This window comes from Homo sapiens, chromosome 4 (genome assembly GCF_000001405.40).
Source record: "Homo sapiens chromosome 4, GRCh38.p14 Primary Assembly".
In the NCBI taxonomy this organism is placed as follows: domain Eukaryota; kingdom Metazoa; phylum Chordata; class Mammalia; order Primates; family Hominidae; genus Homo; species Homo sapiens.
In genome coordinates this window covers 100,230,610-100,250,083 of record NC_000004.12, presented here as the reverse complement: position 1 = coordinate 100,250,083, position 19,474 = coordinate 100,230,610, and the positions used below count along the sequence as shown (strand labels likewise).

Below are 19,474 nucleotides of genomic sequence, written 5' to 3'. Positions count from 1 at the left end.
ATTTTGTTACCAACTTTGATGAACTTTCAAACAGTGTGATTATCTGAAGCTAGAACACTCCCACAACTTGTACAGCTTGCAAAGAACTCATTTCTGGAGACAAAAGGTGGAAAACCAACTATGTCTTTCAGACAAACTACATTATTAATATTTTTATATTAATCTTTTATGAAAATATTGTTAGCAATCTCCTATAAACATATTATTTTGAAAACAGATATATACATTTTCTTGTTTCTGATGGTTATAAGACTCTTAGCTATTACAGGCATCAAAACCAAGAAAATGTATAGACACACACACATTTAAGTTAAACATACTACATAATGTATGTGACTAAAAAGTCAAAGAACCCCTCTTTACTTGCTTTGAAAATATGTCATCATTCTTCTGAAACATTAGTTCTATAAAAGAAAGAAAACAATACATAACTAATCTTTGGGTTTGATTGAAACCATTTGTTCCATGATTGTGTGCTGTCTGAAGTCCTGTCTGAGTCTATCTTTGAATCTATGTGATGATGTCTGAGTCTATCTTTGAGGCCATGTGATGGTTAATACTGAGTGTCAATTTGATTGGATTGAAGGATACAAAGTATTGTTCTTGGGTGTGTCTGTGAGGGTGTTGCCAAAAGAGGTTAACATTTGAGTCAGTGGACGGCGAAAGGCAATCCATTGACCCACTCTTTATCTGGGTGGGCACAATCTAATTAGCTGCCAGCACAGTCAGAATAAAAAGCAGGCAGAAGAACATGAAAAGACTAGACTGGCTTAGCCTCCCAGCCCACCTCTATCTCCCATGCTGGATGCTTCCTGCCCTCGAACATTGGACCCCAGGTTCTTGAGCTTTGGGACTCGGACTGGCTTCCTTTCTCCTCAGCTTTCAGACAGCCTATTGTGGGACCTTGTGATCACGTGAGTTAATATTTTTAATAAACTCCCCTTTATATATACATCTATCCTATTAGTTCTCTCCCTCTAGAGAACCCTGATTAATACAGGCTATCTTAAGCTGTCCAACACCATTTGCTGAAAAAGGCTGGTCCTACCATTTCATGTGATATATATCATGAAAGTAATAAGTGTCACTCTGTATGTCATTCTGTTTGAAGCTTTGCTTTAGGAAGAAAGTCCTTATAGCTCTTCTTTTATTTAATTAATTGTCCCCTAGTAATTATCTAGATAGCTCAACTGGGTTTTAGGAAACAAAAACCTTATGTTATTTTAATTGAGTATATCTTCGATCTTATTGTTGAAAGTGAGCCTTACTTGATATTTGATATTAATCACAGACACTGAAGAAACAGCTCAGGGACCTGGAATTGTCATCTGTGACCAATCAAGTCCCTCTGGACACAACCATTGCTCAATGGAGCTTTAACTTGTTGTGCTGAGATGTCATACCTGTCAGCTAACTCATACATCTTTCCAAGGACGTATAAGGTTTGTTTTCTCCCTGTCTATAAAGGCAACATATGTTCCCAGCATTCACTGACAGGTTTTAACAGTATTTTTCCCCTAGTCGTGCTGTTAGTTGAGTTGTTAAACACAGGAATTTCTGTTTTGTCTTCAAATAATTCAGAACTACAGTCAGAACTAGGGGAAAATAGAAAAGCAGATTGACAGTCTAGCTGTCAAGATTGTCCAGCAGTTGCTTAGCTGTTTATAAGCTAAGCACTGCTTGTCCTCCTTCCATTTCTCTAGCAAATGGAATACTGAGGAAATATACCTGGACTTTATAGATGTAGACAACTGGAAAACATCAATATAGGTGAAGTAGTAATTTAATGAAAGTTAATCTTAAATTGTCCAGTTACTTGTGGCTAGAAAATTTTTTATGATTCATACATAGACCTGCATTATATCTAAGCTCTGCCTAAGAGACCAGAAATGCTGGGTGGTAAGCAGAGGCAGTATAAAGCAGAGAAGATGCTAAGGACTACATGGAGCTTGGAGGTGCCCCACCCCAAGATGCTTTATTCTAGTTAATAATGCCACATAAGCAAGTGCAAGTAATAGTAGATAAAACTATGCATAAGGGTAGAGATAAAAGAGAAAGTTTGAGTGGTTAGCATGGAAGAAAATCATGAGAAGGAAGTGAGGAAAATTTGAGGTTGGGTAAAAATTGGTTGTCAAGTATTTAAAACCATAAATGCTGGATATGAAGCTGGGTATTCTTTTTAAGTGATTCTTGAGACATCTCTTGGGACAGTTTCCTCATTCTTGGTATATATGGTGTTCTAAACAATGACAGTGCCGCAGAGGGAAAGGAGGTGAATTTTCCAGGGACTCCAGAAAGGATATAATCCAAGAAGAGTAATTTTACATAGAAGATCATAGGCTCATTGCTAAAGAGGAATTTCTCTATTTATGAGAAAATGAAAACATGTTCAGAGTCTGGTAAATGCAGCCCAGGTCTATAATGCATCCAAAGCAGTGTGGAGACTGTAGTTGTGGCCATGACTAGGATCAAACAGGAATAAGATTCAAAACCCTTCAATGATTAGGGTTTGCTTTAGGCTTCCCACTGCAGCTGCATCTATTTACATTTTTTAAGAAAACACACTAATTATGAATAAGACCTTTGGAGACCCAACCTACATCAGGACTAGAAGAAAGATTTAAAATTTTTGTCTCCATCTCAAGCAAGCCAGAAATGCACACTTCATTAGTAACATCACTTTATGTCCTGGGCTCATGTGGCAGATTTATTCACAAAGTAAAAAGTTAAGGTTGGTTTTTTTCCCCCTTTCACAAAAATTTAAAGCCAAAAAGATAAGTTTAATGAAAAGCAATTATTTACATACTTTAGTATATGGCTTACTTCTTAGGTCAAACCAAAGGACAAAACCTGGACTCGTCATAATTAAAAAAAAAACACTTATTGATCCACATAGTTGTCCCAAATATTAGTCATAAATCACATTATGCCAGGTCCTTCGAGGAGCATAGTAATTTAGTAACTCTTCGTTGGTACACTTGTCTCATGTTCTTTTTGCAAAGTATTTTGTGTCCTCATCTACTATCAATATCTACCTGAAATAGAATGAGTAAAGTTGATCTCTCAGTGAATTATTGCAATGCCCACATTCCCATATCCTGGCCAGGAAACAGGATCCTAGGGAATGTGGGCAATGCAATCATTCACATGCCCTCAGTGTGGTCATACCTGGCAGGCCAACAGAGCATGTTTCTTTCATGCAGGGTATGGCTGCAAACCCTCAAGGACAGCATGGCCCACTCTGGTTTCACTCTTACCTCTGAAATGTATCCCTCATTGGAGTTTGAGAGGCAGCATGACTAACTGTGATTAGGAGGCCACATGGTATGATAGAAAAAAAAAAAAACCTGAATTTGGAATCAGAAGGCAAGTTCTTGTTCCAGTTCTGACTGATTGGCTACATGACTTCAGGCAAGTCTCTTCAAATCCCTGTCCTCAGTTTCTCATTTGTAAATAGGGGTCATGACAAGTTACCCTACCTGGTTGTTTTTGAGGATCAAATAAAATAATATGTGAAAGCAATGAAATAATATATATAAGTGAAAAATTACATCATTAGTAATCAAAATTTCATATTTTCTAATCACAGAAATTAGACTGCCCCTACACAGTTACATTAACTGATTTTCCAAAAGAGGCCAATTAAAAAAAGACCCTGGTTTCCTTGGTTAAAAGTGCATTAGCAGAATGTTTACTCTTCCAAAATGGTTGTAATTATCTTGAGACTCCAGTGTACCACTTGAGACATGTAATACTGTCAAGATTTTGAATCTACATTGATTTATTCATATTCACATTTTTCTCATGACCGAGTGAGAAGAATGAGTAATGACAAAAATAAATGCTGCTCCCTTGACAATTTCTGATTTCAGAGGCCTCTTTCAGTCACATTTAATTGTAGGTAATTAATCTCAGAACAGTGTACCTTTACCTTACCTGTCCTTGGAAAATGGGTGAGCAATATTGATAGATGAGGCTCAATTAAAACCTTGACTAAAGTTGACATGGGAAGATTCCCAGTCTCGGGGTCAGAAAACCAGTGCTCTGGACCCAGCTGTGCTAAAAGCACAAAGTATGTTGACATGACACCTAACCTCTATGGAATCTGCTTTTCCATCTGTTAAATAGATAAAAGGGAGATTAGTGTTCAATTGTTCTTAACTATTTTGTGTGTCATGTGTCTCTTTAAATATTAAAACTCACAGCCACTCTTACCTCTATCTTCAGACTACTTAACACAAAATAAAATTTTAGCCAAGTTCAGGGAATTCGAGGACCTACATAGACCATCTACAGAAGACTTCAGAATAAAAATCTCCAAATTAGAGCCTATGATCTTTCCACCTTGCATTTCTTTCCTAAAATGGAAGGCACACGTTCTTGTTTGGGTCACAGACATGAAACCATGGCCTGGTGTGGCCCATTTTCTTCCAATAATAAAGATTACCTACTCTGATGATATACAGAAAAAAAAAAAACTCAGTGTCTGCCTACTATATTCTTACAAAACAGATCACTTCTGACACCAGATGTGTGGGGGTTTTCCTCACACACCAAGCAAGCAATCAGTTCTGTAGTGAATAGCAGATGAGTGTCCTAAAATTCAGTTCAATTCTGATACTATCTGCCTGGAGATTAAGTCAGATCCCACAGGTTGAGGACTCAGTTCCACAGTACTGCCCCCCACACTGCTGATGCCAGACCAAAATCTCAGGTTGTTTTACCCGTGATTCTGTCCAACCAGCTATAAAATGGGATTTGCATGATTTACTCCTTGGGTATGAGTAATTTGCAAAATCAGCTCACAGAATTCAGGAAAATATATTAATTGCCTTTGCCAATTTATTATAAAGTTTATTACAAAGGATACAGATGAGGAGATCATTAGGGCAAGGTATGGGAGAAAAGGCACAGAGATTCTATGCCTTCCCCGGGTGTGCCACACTCTAGGAATCTCCATGTGTTCGGCTATGCAAAAGCTCTCTGCACGCAGCCCTTTTGGGTTTTTATGGAAGTCTCATTGATACAGACAGGAAGCAGGAAAATACAGGGTAGAAGAGGGTGGGGTCCCTGGCAAGGGCTCCACCCTCAAGCCTGGACCCATGGCCCTAAATGAAAACATGCATTCCTGTTTTCCCACATGAAGGTTGCCCTTTTCAAAACCCTCCTGGCCTGCCATGTCCCCCACCCTGTACCCATAAAAACCCCAAGCTCCACTGGCAGAGCAGCAGAGTGGAAATACAGAGAAGGAGAGAAGAGAAGAAGTGTCTGAACGTTGAGAGGAACAGAGGCAGTTGACATTAGCGAGGAGTTTGGCTGGGGATGGTCAGAGAGTAGTTCAGCCCAGGACAGCAGAAGTTCAGGGAAAGATTATATTCCCACTTTATCCCTTTTCCAGCTCCCCTTCCCACTGAGTGCCACTTCCACCACTCAGTAAAATCTCCTCATTCACCGTCCTTCAAGTCTGTGTTACCTCATTCCTCTTGCGCACTGGACAAGAACCTGGGTGTGTGTGTAAGAGGTTGTCACACTGACTCTCCACTGAGCTGTTTGACACTTAGCTGTCCACAGATGACAAGTGCTAAGACAACACTGATTGTAACACATGCCCTCTGGGGCTCCAGAGGTCACAGGCAACCCCTAGATGCTGCCACAGGCCAGTATGGGTTTGTTCCTGCTGGTACCCAAAGGCATTCGCCCCAGCTCCTGCACCCACTCACCTGTATGCTCCCCCTCCTGCAAGGGGTTTGAGCTCACCTCACTGAGTAAATGAGCCACATCCCTGTCACAAGTTCTTTGAAGGGGTCAAGGGAACTCTCCTGTCTCGTCATTATATAGGCATGATTGATTAAATCATTGCTCATTGGTGATCCAGTTAACCTTCAGCCCCTCTTCCCTCTCTGGGGGTTGGGTGGGGGATTTGAAAGTCCCAGTGCTCTATTCCTGCCTTGGTTTTTCTGGTGACCAGCCCCAATCCTGAAGCTACCTAGGGTCTGCTAGCCATCAGTCAACTCATTAGCACACAAAAGACACTCACCACTTTACAGATTCCAAGGGTTTCAAAAGTTCTATGCCAGGAAACAGGGACTAAGGCCAAATATGTATTTTACAACATGTATTCAAAGACCACCTTTGGTCTTTGAATTTGGTCTTCAAACATGAATCCCTCATATCGAAAGAACATATAACTCCAGAGATACTGGCACATTACTAGAATCCTACTCAGTCATTAATGATAAGTCCACTTCATTATCATAATATAAGAATGTCTCCCAAGGTGAGGCTACCCAGGTTTGCAGGCTTCCATTCAGTCTTGTAAGGTTCCAAAAGCAGGAGTGGTCTCAGCAAACATAAAGCTCTACCCCTTCAGGCATCTGGTATAATTGAGCTGGAAGACAATATCATCATTACTTGCTCCAACCTCTTTTGAGGTGTTAATGTAATACTGAGTTTACCTCATTACATGACAAATTTATTTATTCCTTTACCTTAGCTACTATTCTTCCTTCTCTTTATTTATCCAAACTTTCCCATCTTTGAAAGGGACACTAGGTTTGGCCACTGTGATTGTCTAGACTGCAGTCAACAATCCTAATCTAGCAAATGCCTTCTCCTCACTCCAGTCCTATTCAGATAGGATAAGGTTACACAGGTGCAGAACTAGTGTGCCATCTTTACCACCAGGCAACATAGCCACATTCACTTTTAGCCCCAATTTTGCCAGATGGAAGGAAGGCACAAATCATCCCCATCAGGCCCCCAGGAATTCTGACAAAGGGTTTAAAAATGTAGTAACAGTTTATTGCTCAGTAGTAGTTGCTAGAAGGTGCTCACAGGTTTTTGCCATAAGCCCCACTTCATGTTCTACAGAGGGCTATCCAACAGACAAATTGTCCCAACCAGAGCTCTAGCTACTATTGTATACTGTGTGGGCCCAGGCAATCTTCCTAGCTCCCATTTGCACGTTCCTTTAATAGTGATTGAAGGACACATTTATATGCCTTCTGTTTTATAATGCTAAGTATAGGAAATATTTCCAAGTCATATACGTTGTCCATCTCCAGGTGAAAGAGACATAATCACTTCACATGAAGCATGTTCAAATATACCAGTCTCCTCCAAACTTAATTCCATCAACCCTTACTTTACTAACTGTAGCCTCCATTAGGACTTTATCAAAAGATTTTTGATACTAAGTAGGAAAATCTTCCCCTGACCAGATATAACATTCCATGTTTAAACATTCCAACTTTTATAATTCTATCAATCCCTACATTTTTATGTTCTAATTTCAAGAACTTCTATTTCCTACCCCATCAAGAGCAACATAAGGTCAGATACATCCAGGTCGGTGCACGTTTGTGTCTTCCCACAGTTGAAATTTTATTGATGTTATTTCAATCACAAAAGTATTGGGCTAAATGGAGTTCTCAAGGAGACAATTCTCCCTAGTACCCATTCATCGGTAGTCAGAGCTGTGGGTACACAGGCTTAAGGCATTCCACAAGTCAGTCCATATCATAAACCATACATAGTAGCATACTTAGTCAATGTATAAATGATATAGGTTAAAATTTCACACCAAACAGAGTAGCATTTAACATCAAGAGAAGAGGGGATAGGAAAAAAAAGGTTTAACAAATCAGCCCAAGGAGAGTGACATAAATAAGGACAGTGTCCTGGAATCAGACCTTGCTTTGGGCAGAGCTCGCTGTGGCAGATGCCAGGTGCTGATTATGAGTGACAGCCAGATGGGATCTGTCAAGATGGCCATGTCAAGCTTAAGAAGTCCTGTTCCTTTTATGGTCCTGGTGAGGACTGATAATAAAGTGTTATACTCTTATCTGGTTGGGTGTTGTCTCTATTGGATAGTGAGCATATGGACTCTTTTGGCTTGATGTCTTTTGAAATGTAAGATGGAGTCTTTTTCTAAGATGGACTCACTTATGTCGAGGATATTTTGTGCAACCCGCAGATCATTTTACCCTCTCTTCTGGAAAAGGCTTTGTGTCTCCAGAAGGGTGTTGAGCAAAATGACCCTGACCATTTTGTCAATGTTTATCTTGATTAATCTGTCACAGGAAATTTCAGATCAGATTTCTCATTTTAATCTTTGCCTTTTGACTTTTTGAATTTCTCCAAAGTGGAATAAATGCAGCAAATGTGTGTGGGACCAGGTGGCTGTCTTTGATCCATCCAACCTTAAATAGTATTGTATTAAGACCTTTGTTTTAACCCCATCAATTTCCATTTTATTAATCCCATTTCTTATGAGAAATAAAAATAAAATTTGAAGCCCCGGAACTGACTGAATGAACCCTTTTTTGGCCGAGAGGATCCCAGAGAAACTTGGAAGCTGAGTTCCTTGTTAGGATGCCATGGAACATCAGACTCACCTAGTTATAACCCCTCCCTTGCTAACTGCCATTAGGCTTTTTTCCCTAAGGGTTAAACAGAAATCAACCCTTTCAAGAGACTCCATGGCTGATTTCTACCGACCACCTGATGCTGCCCCTCCCTTTTGTGATTTAGGCATAACAAATGACCAGCATTCCTCCCTGGTAAGAGAGCACCAACCATGGGGTGGGTATGGCCAGTCTACAGAGGATGCATGGTGAGAGTTCATGTCCTCTACTTCACCCTTTGCCGTCATCAGAGGGCTGAAAACTCCACGCTTGGATCATGCTAATGCTGCCATTTTTTTAACATGGGATGAATGGAAAAGCATGAAGCTCAATTGCACATGACCATGTTTATCCTTCCATAAATATTCATGACCTCTCCTACAGCATAGGAATATGTATATTCAGCCACCTTTGTCAGCATAGAACCTTGTCTTTTTATTCCCTCCTTCCAAGGGCCTGTTTCTAGCTTCTTGCTGTAGGCTATGCTTCTCAGCCTGTCAGAATGGCCACCCTGAAGTCTGCAACTCTTTGTGAGAAATACAGCTCTCCTTTCCAAATTTATGTACCTCATCGTTCTTCATTTGACATCTCATAACCATCTAAAGATTTTCATCCTGCTAGGTAGAGTCTTATGACTCTCCCTTTCCTTTTTCCTCTCAGCTTTACCTTTATCCATGTCTACTTTACTCACCTTATTTCTTAACAACAATCTAAAAATTTTCATCTTCCTGGAATAACTCTTCTCTTTGCCCTTTCTCCATTCTCTTGTTAATTAACCTACTATGTGTATTAGCACCTGTAAGACTCATGAGGGGAAACTGATACAACAAATTTAATAAGGCTTCCTCAACTGTCTTTCGATTTTGCAGCAAGGTCATATGGGGGGGTCCACATTAAAGGAGCACCCTTAACCACAGCATTTACAACTTGGTTAAGAAGCGTATTTAGCAGGTGAATATCTCAGTCATCATAAAGCCAATTCCACATGGCTTGCATATCAATTGCTTCATCTGTGGTGTTCCACTTGGCATGCATAGGTAGAGTCAGGCAGGCTCCTTCTCAGGGTAAACAAAGTTCACAGTGGCTTTTATCCAGTTCATCAGTGTGTCTGTTTCCTCGGGAATCACTTCCCATGTATCTAGATTGTGTATAGCAATCTGTGATTGTTCCATAATTAGCTGTGAGTCCTGCATCAACCCAAACATGCTCTTTAACTCTGCTGCATTTAAAACTAAAGATACTGCTCCTAAATTTGTTGCTCTCACAGTCGATTTTAGTAAAGGCTCTTCAAGAATCTGATGATGCCAGTCTACAAAATGAAATAATTTCTTCACATTACACCCTCTGGTTTTAATAGTTTTCTTGATTTTGTTCTTCCCCCACATTGACTGTTTCTTGGTAACCACAGGACTTATTTTCTGTTGTCCTTGCATAATTTTTCCCTTGAGGGGTGACTCTGAGGCTCGTGGCCAACGGTTGTTCAAGAGTCAAGGATCAACCCAGCACTCTCTTTTACTTTCATTTTAACTACTACAGATAACAGTAGCTTTTTTCTTATTATCTTTGATTTCCTTATGCATCCAGTGAACCAACTCCCAGGGAGCTGGATCCTTGTTTAAACTCCATTGGTAACTTTCACCTTCAGGAAATGATTGCAGCACAGTTACTGCTTCTTACCATGAGTGACCACATGGCCACCCAGGAATCCAAAGTTCTTCATCCCCTACCCTTTTATGCTTTTTGTTTCTGAATCACGTGTTTCCACAAGCCAGGGCTGTTCTAACGAAACCCACTTCTCACATACCAATTCTGACAATACAGAAGAAGAACAAATTCAGTTTCTTCCCATTATCTGCTCAGATCTACCAATGGGTATTTAACACTACTGCCCAGCGAGATAACAGCATCATCTTTGCAAATAATGTCAATGTTCCTAAGTAATAGAAATGAATTCAATTTGTCTCAATGATACCCAGAGAATTGGTTGTCCATAGGCCCTGAATTTTCTCTCAGGCCACTCTCTTCCCTAAATGAAAACGATGCTGATTAGTTTTGTCAGAAACTGTAGGCTCTCACTATTTGCATTCTCCTCTGAAGAAAGTACAACTTTCCTAATTCAAATCAATATTAACCAAATGTTACAATGGAATAAACACATTTTCAGATATTAAAGTTCTCCAAATATTTTGCTTTTGTGGATCTTTTTTTAGGAGATTGCTGGAGATTTGGCTCATCAAAACAAATAATTAAACTAAAAAGAGCAATATGTGAAATCCAGGAAGTGAGAAGTGTAACACAGAAAGATCTCTTTGACAGCAAGGATAAGTCCAGAGACATAGCTATGCAGAAAGGAGGATATGTGGAAAATAGAATTAAAAGTTATTTCTACAGAGCCATTAGAGGGTGTACAAAACCTTAATCAGAAACTCGAAAAAAAAAAGTCAAGTAAAATAATAAAAGGATTATTAGAGGTGAGGAAGGATGGAGGTGAAAGGGGATAGCAAAACATCGGTTAAAGGATACAAATGTATTGATAAATAGGAGGAATAAATTCTAGTGTTCTATAGGACTAAAGGGTTATGAAAATTAACAACAATTTACTGTGTACTTTTAAATATCTACAAGGGAAGATTTTGAATATTACCAATGTTACTGATGGAAAAGATTCAAGTTACCCAAGTTACTGGCGGCGAATTTGTATGGGTCCACAGCAACTTTAGTCCTTGCCTCCTCAGAGGAAAAAATTCAACTCAGAAGCATAAGGCAGAAAAAGAGACTGGGGCAAGTTTCAGAGCAGGAGTGGAAATTTATTTAAAAAGACCTTAGAACAGGAAAAAAAGGAAGGTGTGCTTGGAAGAGACCCAAGCAGGCATGTGAAGGTTAAAGAGAGAAGGCCAAGTGCCCTGTTAAGCCATGATCCTAGGACTTTTATACACTGGCCTCTTTCTCGTGATTCTTCTCTTAGGGTGGGGCTTTTTGCATGCCCAGGGCTTTCCTTACCCTTCAGAATTGAGCATGTACAGTGTGTTTAGTGAGTTATACGCATGTCCATCTGAGGCTTTCTTCCCTTTTCTGATGGAGTGTGCCCCAGGAAGATCATACTTCATTTTTGTTTCTTAACACACATGCCCAGGAAATTGCTTCTCCCTGGGGCCTGCATTCAGTTAACATTTTGATGTTAACAGGTGTGGGCCATCAGGAAATAGCCTCTCCCTGATCATTTTTAGAGAGGCAATGTGAACATTGCCAAACCATCACCTGACATTTCTAGTGGGTTAGGGGAGAGCCCTCTCCTGCCCTGCTCATGCCTATCTACTTGTAATACTAATACAAGGAAATGATAAATGCTTGAGGTAATGGATATGCTAATTACCCTGATTTGATCATTACATGCTGTACACACGTATCAAAGCATCACACTGTACCCAATAAACAGGTGTAATTATTCTTTGCCAACTAAAAGTAATAATAAATGCAACAAAAACTTCTAAGATGGAAAAGGTAGTGAATGGCAAAAATAAAACTACACTAAAAAATTCACTTAGTAATAAACATTTACAAGATAAAAATAATAAAAACTCTAAATATGGCCTTAACCATAAGCTATTTGGCAAGTTTTTAGGAAATCAAATATTTGTATATGTGAAGAGGGGTATAGGAAGACAAAATCTTCATCTTCTACCATCAATAGATAATAAGTAAACATAAAATATAATAAAACATTAGTATGAATATGCCATTAGAAATGTGTAAGTAATTACTGGAAGCAATAGCTAAAAGAATTGAATATAATTGTACCTGGGGACTGGAAAACAAGATGTTGAGAGATTAAGGCAAACTATAATATTATTTGACTTTTATAACTGTGTACACTAAATACCTTGATAAAAATCAAAATTAAACATTAAAAAGATAATAAGAAGAATATAAGATAGACGATAGTCATATGTGCCTCACTCTGGAGAGGAGCAAAATGTTGCCATTGTTCTCTTCAGAATCTAAGGAGATTCTGCTTCTACTCAAGGTCATCTTTATGTAACCTCTTCCCAGACCCCACAGTAGGTTCCAGACAGTATTGGAATTGAAGCTGTTTCATGATCTTTCATTATTTGTCTTTAGCTGTGATTAAGAAGTAACATAAGAACTCCTAAGAAAAAGATATTACCATTGCGTTTTAAGTCATCGTTTTGATTAAGTGACTTAGTGCCATGTTAATGCAATATTGTTGACTCAAGATCAACTGTGTGAAGCTCAGCTTTTGTCTTATCAAGTTCCATGTATTCTGTGCTTTCAAAGCCGTCACTCATTACACCGTTGTTGCCAAAATCAATTCACACAACTTCTAATTTTACATATGCTAAGCTAAAAACAAAGTGGCATACCAATCAGGAAATCCTGACTACAGATGTACTGAAAATGAAGGGTATACCCAGTGCATTTGGTTGCTGAAAAGGAATGTTCCAAGTTGCTACTGCCTGCTGAAGATTAAAATGCTCTGCAAATGTACTGACACTTCCTCCTTCCACCTTCGCTGGTATGACTGATTGTTTCCATCTCAGAAAAGATAATGAAGAGCAATCAGACTGGGTCTCTTAGTAGGAACACGGACAATTTTTTCCACTTTGTCTACCCAGCAGATGAAATAGATATTGGACTTGGGCATGTAACTAATGAAATGAGAACAACAGACTTTAAGAGTATGAAAGGAAAATCCTGGGGCCCCAAAATTACTAAACCAAGGGAAAAGTTAAGCTGGGAGTGGCTCAGGACAAACTTGCCTTTCATTCTATTCAAAGTCATCCCTTTGCTCACTGAGACAGATGTATATTCTGATTGCTGCCTTTGGAAAGGCTTAGTAGAAACTCAAAGAATGCAACTGTTTGTCTCTCCCCTACCTGTAACCTCCATGGAAGTATCCTCCCTGTTTTAAGTTGCCCCTGCCTTTCTGGACGGGACCAATGTACTTTTTAAATATATTGATTGATGTCTCATGCTTCCCTAAAATGTATAAAACCAACCTGTGCCCCAACCACCTTGGCCACATGTCATCAGGACCTCCTGAGGCTGTGTCATGGGCATGTGTCCTTGACTTTGACAAATAAACCTCCTAAAATGATTAAGACTTGTCTCATCATTTTTCTCAATTGACATCTGGTAACCATGAAGGAATTCTGAGTAAAGATGACCTGGTCTGCAGCCGCTCGTCTATCAGTGTTTGGTACTGGCTTGGGCACCTATAGCCCAAACTGATAGGACAATTGCTGAAGCCCAGGAACTCTTTCCTTCAGGGATCCCTGATCTTCCAACTTTTTTTTGTTGGGGGTCTGAGGTTTATTTGCTGTTAAAAAACTCCTTTTGGGGGGAGTTTCTACTCTTTTCCATCAAGGAAGGCAAGCCTGCCTCTGCATCAGCAGAGAGCGATTTTGAGCTTGGGCCCCATTACTAGGTAAAAAAATCGGTTTGGGATTCTGTCTCGAAAATTCTTTTTAAACGATTAAAGTTAGCATTAACAACCAGCTGATGTTAATTTCTGCTTACACATAGAACACTCAAAAATCTTATAATTTGTGTAATCATTGTTGGTTTTGCTTAACTATTTTTTTGTTTGTTTCTGTCTTGTTGGGGTTTTTTGTGCATGTGCTTTGGTCCTTTCCCTTATAGAGTTCAACCAACTCCAAACCCTCTAGCACATGAGTGTGGAATCTTCCACTTGGAAGAACTAAGAGCACCTTGCTCCCCTCAGCCTTTCAAGGCATTTTCAGGCGACTGAGAATCACGTGAGGGTGTCTGGGAGGAATGCTTCCTAAGACATGCAGCCGCTCTAAATAGGATTCCTCCTCAGAAAAATGTATTTAGGGTCTAATCTCAACCAGCAGGTGCATATAAGGAGCTGACCCCTCCCACAGCTTTAGCCCCTGACATACTGTGCCAGGTAGCCACAACATGGGTGGACCAAACCAGTTCAAGGGGTAACGGCCCTGAAAAGCTAGGCCTGTGAGCAGCACATTTTGGGTCCAACACCTGTACCAACTTGGTCAAATTCAAAGGTGAACTCTTAAATAATGGGGAGAAAGGTCTCTAAAGTGGCTAAATACCCACAAAAAAAAGGTGGTATGGTGGGGGGAGGAAAATGGCCAGCAAAAGGAAACAAAAAAGAGGAAAGCTTTTGGTTTTGACCACTAAAGGTACTTTCTTTATATAACAAGGCCCCTTTTTGCCAGCCAGACCAAACTGAAAGAGCAAGAGCTGTACTTCTGAAATAGCAGCATTTTGTCCTAGCTGAAATATGGAGATGATATTTCAAAAGTTTTTTTTTTTTTTAAGGAACTCAATGGTTAAAAGTCAAGATGTGTAAATGTGTGCATATTTGTATTTAAAAAGCCTTCATGTTTTGGGGTTTTTCTGTTTATTTTTCTCTCCTAGAACCTTGCCTTTTTTTGAGCAAAAAAATATTTTTCTTCTCAGTTAACTGAATTCTATTTTCACCTGACTTTTTGACTAAAATAGTTATTGCAACAGAGGCTACTCTTGGGTTTTATAATGAAGAGTGTAATTTAGACACTCAGAAGCACCTTTACTTAAAAAAAAAAATTACGTGCACTGAAAAAGCATCACATGGTCTAACCTCAAAATAATTATCATTTTTTGAAGACCCAGGATTCAGTGTGGGCTCTGCCAAGAGCTCAGAGATCCAGTTAAAAAAAAAAAAATAGGTAGTCTCTATCTAAATAAAATTGGTCTCCTTTTACAATCCATTGATAAATTTATATAATTTTATGTTTGATTGGCTAAAAGAAAAATAAAATCATCTCCTTCTGACTACCCTATTTTTATGAATTCGAACAGACCACCAGACTTTTTCTCTCTGTACCTTATGATGCAAATTTTTCTATTTGATTTTCACCTGAGTTGTTTCCTTTAATATGCAAATTTAAGGCTATTTAGCTGACAACTGCCTAGGGTTGTGGAACAGGTTATCAAGAATTGGGAAGTCTAAAATAGGAAAAAACAAAAAAGGATCTTTATGAATCTGTAAGATGTACTTCTATCCACATGCCTGATATGTCTATGCATTTATGTGTTGTGTACACAATGTTTCACTACTGAAAATACATAAAAGAGCTCTAATTAATTGGTTCAAGAAAAATAAAAGCACTTGAATCAAATACTTTATCAGGAATAAAGAAAAGACTAGTCAAATGTTTTTTCAATTTTATATAACTTAAGTAAAATCTTTAATAATAAGCTAGCTTTAAAATTATTGGTAAAGTAATATTAGAAATGTCTTAAGAATTGCCAGCATACATTTTTGTTTGCATTTATTAATCAAGGAATTTCATACTTATCCCTGCCAAATACTGTAAGGTATCAAAATTTGGCATGGGGGTTACAAAACTATAAACCCAGCCCAAAATAGAATGATCTTTTCTTGTGTAACTTTTAATACATAAGACATTGATATTGGTTTAATAAAAATAGCTGCATCTTGAATTTAGTAAGATTACCATAACCTCTAATCCTGTGGCTTTCGGCAGTCTAGTTCACAGGCAGTAAGAAGGTTTGTTTGGGGAAAGGACTATTATTGTGTTTGTTTCAAAGCTAAACTGTAAACCAAGTCTCTCTGAAAGTTAGTTTGACCTATGCCCAGGAATGAACAAGGACAGATTGGACGTTAAAAGCAAGATGGAGTCAGTTAGATCAAATCTTATTCACTGTCTTAGTTATAATTTTGCAATAGCAGTTTCATGACTTTAAATCATGACTATTGCAGTTTTCATAAACAATCTAGGTAAACAATTAAAATAAAATAGGTAAATGTAATGGGATAAATACTTGTAGACAAAGTTGTCATAATTTATAATATAAAGATAAATTAAATAATATATATTTTATTATTTGAGTATTTTCCAATAAAAATATATTGTAGGAAAATACTCCTGCTAAAAGAAAAAAGTGTGCCCTTTTTACAAAAGATGAATAACTTTTGTCTAATTCAAAGCTTATTTAAAGGCAATGTATAAAATAAGGTAAAAAGGGCCAGGAATTAAGAGAAATGTAAAGAAAGTTATAGAAATAAAGAGGTTTCTTTGGTTAAAAAAAAAAGCTTAAAGAAAAATAATTTTATATAAGAAAAAAATCTTGAATGGTAAATTTAAACCTAGAATAAAAGGACTGATTGTTTAAGAAAGAGCAATGTTCAGGACAAACCAGAAAGTCCAAGCATGTCATAAATGATCTTTGTACATTATAATAAAATAATTTTTAAAAAACTCTTATATAATCAAGTTGTTTATAATTAAAGAGAAATTGTAATGGCCTTTCTAGAAATTGGGCTTGATGTAAAAAAACACTTACACACTAAATAACTGGTTAGAACAATGAAATTTTCTTACAGAGTTAATTTACTCTTAATAAATGATAAAAGATTTTAATTTTTTTTAACCCACAGTTCAACTTTTATTGCATCTCATCATTTTTTAGCTTTCTCTCCCTTTATAAAAAGCATGTTTTCTTAAAGGTCTAAAGGAAATGTTTTCTGCCAACATAATATTATGTGCACTGCAGAAGATCTTTTCTTTTGCTTTTTGGTAACTGGACTAATAGATTTTACGTTTTATCAAAATAATTCCTATGCCATTATTATTCAGTTTGGCTTGCTTAGGAAAAACCGGAGATTTAAACATTTTTAAATTAAGGTTATTACATTCGTATAACTTCGTGTATGTGCTTTCAAGTCCTTGTGACATTGAGTTACAGGGCTTTGACTCCTAGGTCTAAATGGAACACCAAGTCCTGCTAAATCTTAAACACTGACAACAATTAAAGCCTCATCTATAGGCCCTGTAGAAGATGCTAGTCAAAATACACTGCATTTCTAAGACACAGGGCCAGAAATTAAAGCTTTTCAAGTCCTCAAGGCCCAGGGACTATTGCAGAAGAGGTGGGTGCATGAGACTGTAAGGGCTGATTTTAAAAGATAAAATAAGTTCTGTTTCTCTATAAATTAATCATTAATGTCAAAGGCACACTGATGTAAAACCAGTAACTTGAAACTGTTCTTTTGAACTATTGACAGCTTTTAACGATTTAGTATATTCCTATGAACAAAATTTGGAGCATATTTGTTTCTCTCTATGTGATTTCTGCAGAATTTGGAAACTATTTGTGAGTATTCTTAACTTATGGCAGTACAGTTTTTGGCATAAGTGTAATAAAAATCTGTTTTTATTTGTAACAAGACACTATTGGAGAAATTGGTTATTTTACCATGGCTTTAATTAGAATGGTGTGCTTTCCTTTAAGGAATCAAACTTAACTGATGGAGCCTATAAAAGCCTTTGAGAAAACTGGTCTCATATTTTACACAGTCCCTGCACAGGGTTTCTGACATGTGGTAAGTAAAAAATGTCACTTTCTGACATTTTTTAGATAAACTGGGTCCAGGAGCCTAGGTTTATCTTGGAACCTCAAGAGGAGAGGAAATCCACCCAACTTATAGGTGTTTCATGGTACAAATCCGTAACTGGGCTTGGCTTTTAAAAAGTCTTAACTGAGATTCTTTCTATGGAACAAAGTTCCATCAAAGCCAATATTAAAAAGCCTATGTGAAAAAGAATTATTCTTGCTGCACTGCATACAAATAATGTGGCCAAGTAAAATAAAGCAAATCGGTTCTACCAGGATTTTTCTTTAGTAAAAATGGCAAACTGGAGGGAGAAAAATTACCTTTCAAAAACTATAATACACCTGCTGTTAGATTCTAGTCTGGCCCAATGTTTTTCAATTTTTATTATTTTCTACAGTTTGGACTGAATTCTATTTTTTCTTGGCTACAAGACTTCAAAATAATGTTTTCAATTTTTATTTATTTTTTCCTAATTTGGAGTCACTAAAAACTAAGCTGTGCTTTTGTAAAGTCCTATGAACTAAAACTAGACAACTTAAACTTCAGAAGAAAATAACAGCAACCTATTTACATACATAAGTTACTTTCATACCTGCTTACTGATGTATAGACTTCAGAGTAATGTGGCCTATATCAATTTTGCAGGATTGTCCTTTTGTTTGTTGTTGTGGGAAGTCAGGGACCCCGAATGGAGGGACCGGCTGGAGCCGTGGCAGAGGAACATGAATTGTGAAGATTTCATGGACATTTATCAGTTCCCAAATAATACTTTTATAATTTCTTATGCCTGTCTTTACTTTAATCTCTTAATCCTGTTATCTTCGTAAGTTGAGGATGTACATCACCTCAGGACCACTGTGATAATTGCGTTAACTGTACAAATTGATTGTAAAACATGTGTGTTTGAACAATATGAAATCAGTGCACCTTGAAAAAGAACAGAATAACACCGATTTTTAGGGAACAAGGGAAGACAACCATAAGGTCTGACTGCCTGCAGGGTCGGGCAAAAAGAGCCATATTTTTCTTCTTGCAGAGAGCCTATAAACGGACATGCAAGTAGGAGAGATACCGCTAAATTCTTTTCCTAGCAAGGAATATTAATATTAATACCCTGGGAAAGGAATGCATTCCTGGGGGGAGGTCTATAAAAAGCCACTCTGGGAGTGTCTGTCTGATGTGGTTGAGATAAGGACTGAGATACGCCCTGGTCCCCTGCAGTACCCTCAGGCTAATTAGGGTGGGGAAAAACTCCACCCTGGTAAATTTGTGGTCAGACCAGTTCTGTGCTTTCGAACCCTGTTTTCTGTTATTTAAGATGTTTATCAAGACAATACGTGCACCGCTGAACATAGAACCTTATCAGTAGTTCTGCTTTTGCCCTTTGCCTTGTGATCTTTGTTGGACGCTTATCTGTAGTTCTCCTTTTTGCCCTTTGAAGCATGTGATCTTTGTTCTGCCTTTTGCCCTTTGAAGCATGTGATCTACTCCCCATTCTTACACCCCCCACCTTTGAAACCCTTAATAAAAAACTTGCTGGTTTGAGGCTCAGGTGAGCATCACAGTCCTACTGATATGTGATATCACCCCTGGTGGCCCAGGTGTAAAATTTCTCTCTTTGTACTCTTTCTCTTTATTTCTCAGCTGGCTGACACTTATGGAA

General features: G+C 38.1%; 1 annotated feature.

Annotated features, from left to right (window-relative positions):
* Positions 584 to 785: a silencer, noted in NCBI's record as "fragment chr4:101170456-101170657 (GRCh37/hg19 assembly coordinates)". NCBI's record gives its function as "represses an EF-1alpha promoter that drives an FKBP-Casp9 reporter gene in an ReSE screen in K562 erythroleukemia cells {active_cell/tissue: K562}" and the evidence as "EXISTENCE:reporter gene assay evidence [ECO:0000049][PMID:32094911]".